The 10052-nt window shown below is 38.2% G+C and overlaps 1 protein-coding gene across 53 annotated transcripts in view; it reads left to right on the forward strand.

Annotated features, from left to right (window-relative positions):
• The window catches only part of ERC1 (ELKS/RAB6-interacting/CAST family member 1), a 505975-nt gene that overhangs the window by 115375 nt on the left and 380548 nt on the right, over positions 1–10052 (forward strand). For 19 of the 53 annotated variants that reach the window (XM_047428566.1, XM_047428562.1, XM_047428558.1 and 16 more), the window contains 2 exons: positions 4859–5014; positions 6882–6965. The exons of 1 other annotated variant lie outside the window; for it this stretch is intronic. In XM_047428566.1, the coding sequence (XP_047284522.1) occupies positions 4859–5014; positions 6882–6965 (240 nt within the window). Of the gene's footprint in view, positions 1–4858; positions 5015–6881; positions 6975–10052 lie in introns of all 53 variants that reach the window. 33 more of the 53 variants (NR_027948.3, NR_027946.3, XM_047428570.1 and 30 more) reach the window with 2 other exon arrangements.

Raw genomic sequence — 10052 nt, forward strand, 5'->3', positions numbered from 1 at the left:
AGAGTTGAGATTTTTTTTTATTATTTTTTATTTTTATTTTTTGAGATGGAGTCTCGCTCTGTCGCCTAGGCTGGAGTGCAGTGGCGTGATCTTGGCTCACTGCAAGCTCCGTCTCCCGGGTTCACGCCATTCTCCTGCCTCAGCCTCCCAAGTAGCTGGGACCACAGGCGCCTGCCACCACGCCCAGCTAATTTTTTGTATTTTTAGTAGAGATGGGGTTTCACCGTGTTAGCCAGGATGGTCTCCATCTCCTGACCTCGTTATCCGCCCGCCTCGGCCTCCCAAAGTGCTGGGATTACAGGTGTGAGCCACCGCACCTGGCCAAGATTTATTAAAAGTAATACTTTTTACTGCTTCTTCAAGGGCGGTATTAAATGAAGTAGTCTTTTAAAAATTTTATTTCTTATTTTTCATTTTTTTCCTACAAGTACTTGACGTGACAAATATTAATATAATGACTACAAGTATGGTTTGATGCCATTGCCTTGATTTGTGCTAAGGCACTAGCAGTTTTGCCCATCATTGCTGTATATCTTTAGTGCAGACAGTGGAAAAGTCAAGTGACATCATGGTATTATTGTGAAAATAGTTTTGATCATGCATACTTTGTGAAAGGGTTGAGGGTACCCTGAGAGTTCCATAGACCATCCTTTGAAAACCTCTGCCTTAAGTTAATGAATATTTAGAAATCTTTAGGCTGTTCAGTATAGTGATTAAGAGCTTGCTTTCTAAGTTAAACTCCCTGGATTCAAAATCTCGCTTCACTTAACCAACTGTAAGATATGGAGCAAATTACCTATGCCTCAGTTTCTTTATCAACAAATGGTGATAGTAATAGTACTCATCCAGTGGGTCGTTTTGAGGTTTAAATTAGTTAAAACATGTAAAAACACTTTGAACAGGACCTAGCGCATAGTAAACATTCAATCCATACTAGCTGTTGCAGCTGTTATTTTTGTTCACAATCTGTTCTTTCTCATAAAAGTTCATGTAGTTAGGGACCTCCCCCCACAACTACTTCTTCATATCCTCTAGAAAGCTCAATACTGTGTTTTGCATTGTGGGCCTTCATTTAATATTTGTTGATATGACAAGAATATTTAGTCAATGGTATATAAATAATTTTATGTAAATAGATACTTCTGAAGTAGTTATGGGAACTGTTGTCTTAATTTGGATGATTTCCTCTTAAAACTTTATATCGTATACATCTTTATTCTCGGTGGGGAAAGGATTTACCAAACAAATTCCGAATTAGTGGATTCTGGGTTCTTTGTAGTTAATTGGTAGTCTTGAGTATAATCTTGTAAAGGGCCTTTAGAATCGTTCAGTTGCATGGTTTTACCCTTTCCACATTCACCACAAGTTTGTTGTGTTATTTCCTGATCCCTTGTTAACACCTAAGAATAAAACACATGAATGTACCTATGTCCACAAAATGATTTGTTTAACTGCCTTTTGACAGAATGAGGACGAGTAATAGTATTACTTGGTGGCAATGGATGCATTTTAAGTTGTGTGAACCTTCAGCCATTCTGCTAAGAAGGAGAAAGATTCTGGTGGCCCAGTGGGGTCAAGAGGATGTGATGCTGAAATCACAACAGAAATAGCTGTGTTGCTGAGAATGTGGAATGAGCTTCAGAGAATTATGAAAATCTAGTGTAGTCTTTAGGGAAAATAGGGAAGAAAGGTGATTGAAGTAAAAGAGCCCAGTAATCTTGAAGGTGATGCAATTTTCTTTGCCCTCTCCTCTTTCGCCTCTTCTTCCTCTCTTTCCTCTTCTTATCCCTTCTCCCACCATTTTCCCTCATTCCAGCCTTTCCTTCTTTGTTCCTCTTCTTCTCTTTCTCTTCCTCCCCTTTCTCTACTATTTTTTTGTTTGTTTGTTTGTTTGTTTTTCCTTTACCAGTGGAGGAACAGGGAAGAATGACTGTACTGCTCTAGGGTTAGAGTTTTGCTGGGATAGATAAAGCAGAGCGAGTGATTGGGATGCAAATGAATTGAGGGTGATGATGACAGAGTAGTTTGGACGTTGGTCCTGGACTGTACCCTGGATCTGGAAAGAGTAAAATTCAGGTGGACTGACAGGTTGGGAGAAAATGTAAAAGTTAGGAAAGTGGAATTCTCTGTGAGGTTGAACAGGAAATAATCAGAGTGAGGGTATGACAGGCCAGGGGAAGAGAGTTCTGGATGATGATAGGATCCATCAGTCCTATAAACTGGATCACCCAAATGGACTGGAGGATGAGATCATTGCAATTAAGGGCGTCAAAGAATTCTGACATTGCAATCCTCGGATTATGGCAAGAGTGGTGATTGAAGGGGATATTGTAAGCCAGGTGCCAAAGACTTCCAAAAATGGGCAGGAGTGATGGAGAAGTCCCTGGATGGCAGCAATGGGGAGGGTAGGGTGAAAAGGAGTATGAGCTTTCCATAAAGGGAAACAGCCTTGAAGAACTGGGAGAATGTCAACCCTTTCCCCTGCTCCTTTGTGGTGTTGGGGTGTTATTGACCTTCACTGGAGAGAGTTCATGGGAAAAAGGTTGAGAATTTGGGGAATTTGACAAAGAGCAGAGGATTTCAGTAAGTCCAGTGGGATTGGTTGGTTAATGATGGAAGGGCTGGGGCTGGGGAAGTACAGAGTAGTAAAGTGAAAAGGAATTTTTTTATTTAAATATTACACATTCTAGGAATAAGAAACCTGGTTGGAATGACTTTCCTTAAACCCAGCATTGGTACCCGTTGGGTTGGTGCTAGAACTAGTTGAGAGTATCAGGCCTTAATTTTCTGGCCTGATTTCCTTGGTAGGTTCTTCTTCTGGTCAGTCAGTACCTGCCTCCTGGTTTTCAGAGCTGGAGTCATGATCCCTTTTTGGGAAGAAGGTTTTATGGCTCATGATTTGGTAGTGAGGGTGCTAATTTGTCAAAAGCTGCCTTTGTCTGTGTTTAGGGTAGGGGAGAAGTTAGATTATATTTTTAAGGGCCTTGTAGAGACTTTCTAGAGGCTCTGTACAGGTTCCGGCTGCCATGTGATGTACAGAGTTGGAGTTCTTACCTGGGACTAAATTGTCTTGAGTGGAGCCCCAGTGCTGCTGGAGATACACTTCCCTCTTTCAGCTGGTCCAGTTTCATTACCACTCAGGCTGATGACAGAGGAGAACTTACCTTTAACTTTCACTTTCTTTCATTTGTAGGCTAGTCATATGCTTATGCCTAGTATTTTAGTCTTTTTTAAGGTGCTGTGTTCTGATATTTCCAGAGAAATTTTATAGCAATCTTAAAAGTGAATTTTCAGGTAGTGCAATTGAAGTAGTACTTTTTATGGGTCAGTCATTCCACATGAGTAAATAAAAATCCTGGTTTAGGTATAGAATGACTCTGATTGTATTAATTCAGTACAATGGATTTTGAACAGGTACATTTTAAGTTTAATTTGAATGAATTTATAAAAGACAGTTTTCATTGTGATATTTTTAAAGGTCACGTGATGAGCAAGACAGAGGAATACATCCTCTCCTCCCCTCCCTTGAACCTGAAAATAGCTAGGTGTAGTTTTCTCGATATAAAGCCTTAATCTCTCTCATCTTTATGCTCTGAGAATAAAGGAGACTTAATCAAGAAATTATTGAGGTAAAGTAGAAAAGGAGTTAATTTCAAAATAGCTTCCAAAGGAATGGTTTATCTAAAACTCCAAGTGAAATAAAGCTAAGCTATACTTAATTTATGCTCTTTAAGGTCTCTATTTCTTTGGTGAGTAAGCACCTGCAGCTACAGATACATAAAACTATTCATTCCATGTAGGAGTCTTTCTGTAATTCATGACATGTAAAGTAGCCTGGGGAGAAACTAGGTACTGCGACAAACAAAATCAAGAGATCGAATATGAAATAATGTTCTGTTGGAAGGTGATATTTGTGGTAGAGATGATGGTTTATAAGGACAGTGATTTTTAAAAATTAAGAATTATTTTAAATGTATGAAGTACAGACAATAAGGATTGCTAACATGATAAATAACTTAATTATTCCCCCATTTTTCTGCAGTGGGATGTTATGTAATTTTTATTATTGCACATATAGCTGTACACGTTACTGTATAAATCTTTGAAACCCTCTTACTTTTTTCCCCTCCTTTGGGGCATAATATGTTTTTTAGGGGTCACCAAGTAAAATGATAAAATACTAGAACTAGAAAAGGCTTTACTATTAATATTGGAAATTTTTTTCACCAGAAATTTGTAATTTCTGATGCAAAGAAATTTTAACCAGTTTTTCATTGCATTTACTTCTTCAGTAATTTAGTAATTATTTTCAACTTTAATTTAAAGGGTGCAGAGCTGGAGGCAGCCATAGAAGAAAAATCATACTGTGGATATGAGTGCTTCTCCTCCCACTCAAATGGCTGTAAAGGACGTATTTTAGAAGGAAGGCACTGGCTGGGCATGGTGGCTCACGCCCATAAGCCCACCACTTTTGGAGGCCAAGACAGGTGTATCACGTGAGGTCAGGAGTTCGAGACCAGCCTGGCCAACATGGCAAAACCCTGTCTCTACTAAAAATACAAAAATTAGCTGGGCATGGTAGCGTACACTTGTAATCCCAGCTACTTGGGAGGCTGAGGCAGGAGAACTGCTTGAACCCAGAGGCAGAGGTTGCAGTGAGCTAAGATTGCGTCACTGCACTAGAGCCTGGGCGACAGACTCTGTCTCAAAAAAAGGAAGCAAGGCACCAATTGCCAGACAGCATTTTTTCTGTATATTTGTCTATCTTTATTAAATGTAACTTCTTTAAATATCATGTTATTCAGCTTTTCTGGGTTTTTGTGAATACTTCAATCACTAAATCTTCCATTGTCTTCAGGATTCAAAAATTTCCTCTATGGAGCGTGGGCTTCGAGACCTGGAAGAGGAAATTCAGATGCTGAAATCGAATGGTGCTTTGAGTACTGAGGAAAGGGAAGAAGAAATGAAGCAAATGGAAGTGTATCGGAGCCATTCTAAATTTATGAAAAATAAGGTAATGGCATGTGAGACTTTTGATTCTTAAAAGGAGTTTGAAAAATTGATGCATATTTTTTACTTCTCTAGTGATGATAAAGCCGTATTTTACACTCTTTTATCAGGTTTCAGGGAAGAATACTTTTAGCATAGTTCTTTCAAATGAAACTTCTCCAGAATTAAAGTCAGAATTACTGACATAGATAGTTACTACAAGTTTTTACTTATAAAGACAATTCTCTGTATGAGGCTACATATGTATTGTCATGGTTTAAGTTTTCATATCTATTAGTACTTCCGAAAAACTTCCAGATGAGTTTTTCTCACTATATGAAACATCAGGTTCTTTACCTCTTGTGAATTATTTAAAAAGTCAAAACCCTAAGAGGCTTGAGATGGAGTTTCGCTCTTGTCACCCAGGCTGGAGTGCAGTGGTGTGATCTCAGCTCACTGCAGCCTCTGCCTCCATGTTCAAGTGATTTTCCTGCCTCAGCCTCCCAAGTAGCTGGGATTACAGGTGCGTACCACCACACCTGGCTAATTTTTTGTATTTTTTGTAGAGATGGGGTTTCACCTTGTTGGCCTGGCTGGTCTTGAACTCCTGACCTCAGGTGATCCACCCACTTCAATCTCCCAAAGTGCTGGGATTACAGACGTGAGCCACCGTGCCCAGCCCTAAGAGGCTTTTTAATGAAATGGGTGAAATGAAGTTACGTTTCCCCTCCAAATACAGTTCTGTAACGGAAAGCCCTTTCTTTGCCCTATCCTGTGGGGAAGATCCACTTGCTGTCAGGTTTATTGCTTCCCATGTGCACTTCAGGCGTAATATGACAAAGATTGATACCACCAAGACCTATCAGTCTGTGTTTATCATCAGTCACAATGTTCCTTCCTTGTATCCAAAGTCATTTAGTTTGATTCTGTAAACTATTTAGGCAAGTTGGAGGATTTAGTTTATCACAATTATCAATTTACCAGTTTTGTTGTGGTTTCATTAAACATTATGATTGTAATTATAAAGTTTAAGCCAGAAAATAAGTGTTTTCCCCCTTTATTTCCCAGTTGTATTCTCCAGGTTCTTAGAAATGAAACCCGCAACATCCCAGTAGTGTGAAGGAATGATAACATCACTTCCCCTCCAGTTTCTGGCTTCTTGCCATGGTGCCCATACCTGGCATATAAGTCTACAGAATATTCCTCTGCTACCTCCAGACTCTATTATTAATTATTTCTACTACTTTCATTTCAGTTTTAGAAATTAAAAACTCACATACCCAACTTTTTTTTTTTTTCTTTTTCTTTTTTTTTGAGTCGGAGGTATGCTTTGTCGACCAGGCTGGAGTGCAGTGGCGTGATCTCGGTTCACTGCAGCCTCCGTCTCCAGGGTTCAAGCTTCAGTCTGCTGAGTAGCTGGGATTACAGGCGCCCACCACCATGCCCAGTTAATTTTTGTAGTTTTAGTAGAGACGGGTTTCACTATGATGGCCAGGCAGGTCTCGAACTCCTGACCTCAAGTGATCCTCCTGCCTTGGCCTCCCACGGTGCTGGGATATAATCATAGGTGTGAGCTGCTGCGCCTGGCCTCACATAACCAACTTTCTATTAGTTTGGATTTTTCACCCTGATTTGAGAACAAGACATAGTGCCGTATGATCTCTGTGTTTATGTTTTTCATTTGTTGATTAGCACATTCCAGTCCACTGTGGGGGGAAAAAACCTGTGAACTTAGAAACTACCTATGGCTCTTTGAAGAGGGAATGAGGGGAACAGATTTGATTGTATTATATAAGTTATTGTTATTTCTAGTTACCATTCTGCCTCAAAAGTAGACAAGAAGAAGACCTAAGTTGACACATAAGTGAAAAAGAATAATAATGTCGTGACAGGTAGAACAACTGAAGGAGGAACTAAGTTCGAAAGAGGCTCAATGGGAGGAGCTGAAAAAGAAAGCGGCTGGTCTTCAGGCTGAGGTCTTTGCCGTAAGATTTACCTCTTTGTGTGCAGTGGTCCCACAGTGGGACCCTGCTAGCTCTATGGCTTCTGGGTGGCTTACCCTTTCATTCTCTATGGTTGGCAGCTTTGCCCATTACTAGCACTAACCAGCCTGCTCTGCTCTTTAACTGACTCCTGTTCACTAGTTTGACCCACATGTCACTTTGTGTGCAGTGAGCCTTCACGTGTTCTGGAAGCCTTGTACCTGGTACTTTATTGTTGCTTTTGTCACTCTGTGGATGGTATTTCAAAGCCTGTTTCTTTCTCAACCCTTTATTGTTGGTTTATATGAATGGCGGCCTTCTTTTCTTCCTAGGTACAAGAATATATGCAGTTGTTCTAGGCCTATCACCTAGAGTTTATTTGAATTTGAAACTCTTGAGCAAAGTGCTTTACCTTATGTAGACATTATCTTTAAGTCTCCAGTGAGTGATTTTGCCACAAATGTTACTTTCTTTAGGACAGATGTATAGAAAGTATTTATCTAGTAAATTGAAATTACTAAGAGACTTATTTCAGGTATCTAAATCTAGTTCAATATTCTAATGAACTTAAAATTTCAATTCAGAACATAATAATAAAATAAATACAGTTGGCCCTCCATATCTGTGGATTTGCATCTGTGTGTTTAACCAACTGTTTTTTATTTTCAGGGTAAAAAAATGGATGTTGTGTCTGTGCTGAACATGTACAGGCTTTTTTCCCATGTCATTATTCCCTAAGCAATACAGTATGACAACTATTTACATTGTAAATATTTACATTGTATTACGTATTACAAGTAATCTAGAGATGATTTAAACTATACTGGAGGATGTGCATAGGTTATATGCAAATTCTACATCATTTTATATCAGGGACTTCAGCCTTCATTAATTTTGGTATCCAAGGTGTGTCTTGGAACCAGTCCCCCATGGACCCATGGATACCGAGGGATGGCTGAATAATAAAGTAGCTAACACTTGCACACTTACTGTAAACATTTTATAACGTGCTGAGTTAGACATATTATCAACTCCAAATTATAGACGAGGAAACTGAGGTAACAGAATGGTGCCTAGGAAAACACAGCTAGTAAGAGGCAGGATTTGGTTTTATACAGGCAGTCTTCTTCCACATACTGCTTACAAGTTCTTTACTGACCTATACTAGGCTGTGCACACATTTGTCAAAGTGTCAGCAAAAACTGCTTCTGAAAATAATTGTGGCTAAGACTGGAATAAAAAAATACAGCATTTAAAAAACCAAACTTGGGCTACTTTTGTAGATTTGCTATTTATGGTCCACTTTATAGTATATATTAAAAAGGGAAATATTTTGGTGGAAAGGGTCTAATTTGGTTTATGGAAACCATATATTGGCTAGAGGGAAGGTTGATCAATAACTTCCTTTTTAAAATAGCTACTATTAGTAATTTCTGCATTGAGTCAGACAACAGGCTAAGCACATTTCACGCTTTATTTTACTGAATCCATAAACAGTACAGTGGCATTCGTATAATTTCTCCTTATTACTAATTAGGAAACTGATTAGGAAAGTAATTATTCAGGGACACATAGCTAGCTTAGTTCTGATAGGTGAATGTCTGCAAAGCCTTGTGCTCCTAAGCTTTGTATTATATTTGCTTCCCCTTTATAATGTCTTCCCTTCTCAGTCTTTAAGGAAAATTTGTGCTTCTAAACTCTGCTTTTCTTTTCTTTTTTTCTTTTTCTTTATTTTTTTGAGACAGAGTCTTTCTCTGTCGCCAGGCTGGAGTGCAGTGGCGAGATCTCGGCTCACTGCAACCTCTGACTCCCTGGTTCAAGCGATTCTCCTGCCTCAGCCTCCTGAGTAGCTGGGATTACAGGCATGCGCCACCATGCCCAGCTGATTTTTGTATTTTTAGTAGAGATGGGTTTCACTATGTTGGCCAGGATGGTCTTGATCTCCTGACCTTGTGATCCACCCGCCTCGGCCTTCCAAAGTGCAATGATTACAGGCGTGAGCCACTGCACCCGGCCTAAACCCTGCTTTTCATTTAAAATATTTTCTTTTCTTTCTTAGTCTTTAAGGTCAATATAGCATTATTTGAAGCTTACTTAATAATGCAGATGATGACGAAACAGATTTTTATATTTATTTTTGACCACGTGATTGGAGGTAGCTGGAAATTTGAATAATCTTAGTCATAGTTCTTTAGCTGAGAAAATGGTAACACTTTGAACATCCCCCAAAATATTCATTCATACAACAAATGTGTTTTTGTTACAATCAGTGTGTTAGGGAATGGAATAGTGTTAATGGGTTGTTTTTATTGGTGAAGGGATATCATAAAAGACTCCACGTTGTTACAGTGTGTGCTAACTCTTGGGTACATACTATTTTGCAGGATGAATATAGCCACCGTTTAAAATTATCTTCCACTGATGTTTTTAGTATCCTCAGGTACTTTGTATACAATAAGCATACAGAAATATTTGTTGAATGAATGAATAACTATATCTCTAAAAAGAGATTTTATGCATATGAGAAAAATACTTAATCTTTTTTGAAACAGAAGGCTAAATTGGAAATTTATTTTTGGTGTTCCTCAAAGGTCTAATTTTAATTAATGTGAAATTTATTTCTTCATGGGAAATTGTTCTCAAAAGCTTTATCCCTTATACCTAAGATTATTACAATTACAATACTTTAGATACATTCAAGTTTTTGAAAATGAAAAGATAACTTTTTGTTTCATCAGTGACACCGAAATTACTGACTTGTCAAATGTATACTTCCAATAATTAGTATCTTTTTTAGTTCCTTGTTAGGTGGTAGACATAATTTAAAAGGAGATGTAATTTCTGTTTACATGGCTTCCATTTAGGGTAAAAAACTATTTTTAAAATTCTTAGAAAACAGGAATGTAAAGAAGGTGTTAGAAAGAAAATACTTTCAATGTTAAGAGAGAAATTAATCAATACACATAACATCAAATTATAGGATTTTACAAAACCATGTTATGTATAACATTAAAAGTGGCTTTTTAAGATAAGAATTTTATGCAAACTTTTGAGAATGAAAAAGATAACAGTGAAAAATTA

The sequence above is a fragment of the Homo sapiens genome, chromosome 12, assembly GCF_000001405.40.
Source record: "Homo sapiens chromosome 12, GRCh38.p14 Primary Assembly".
In the NCBI taxonomy this organism is placed as follows: Eukaryota; Metazoa; Chordata; class Mammalia; order Primates; family Hominidae; genus Homo; species Homo sapiens.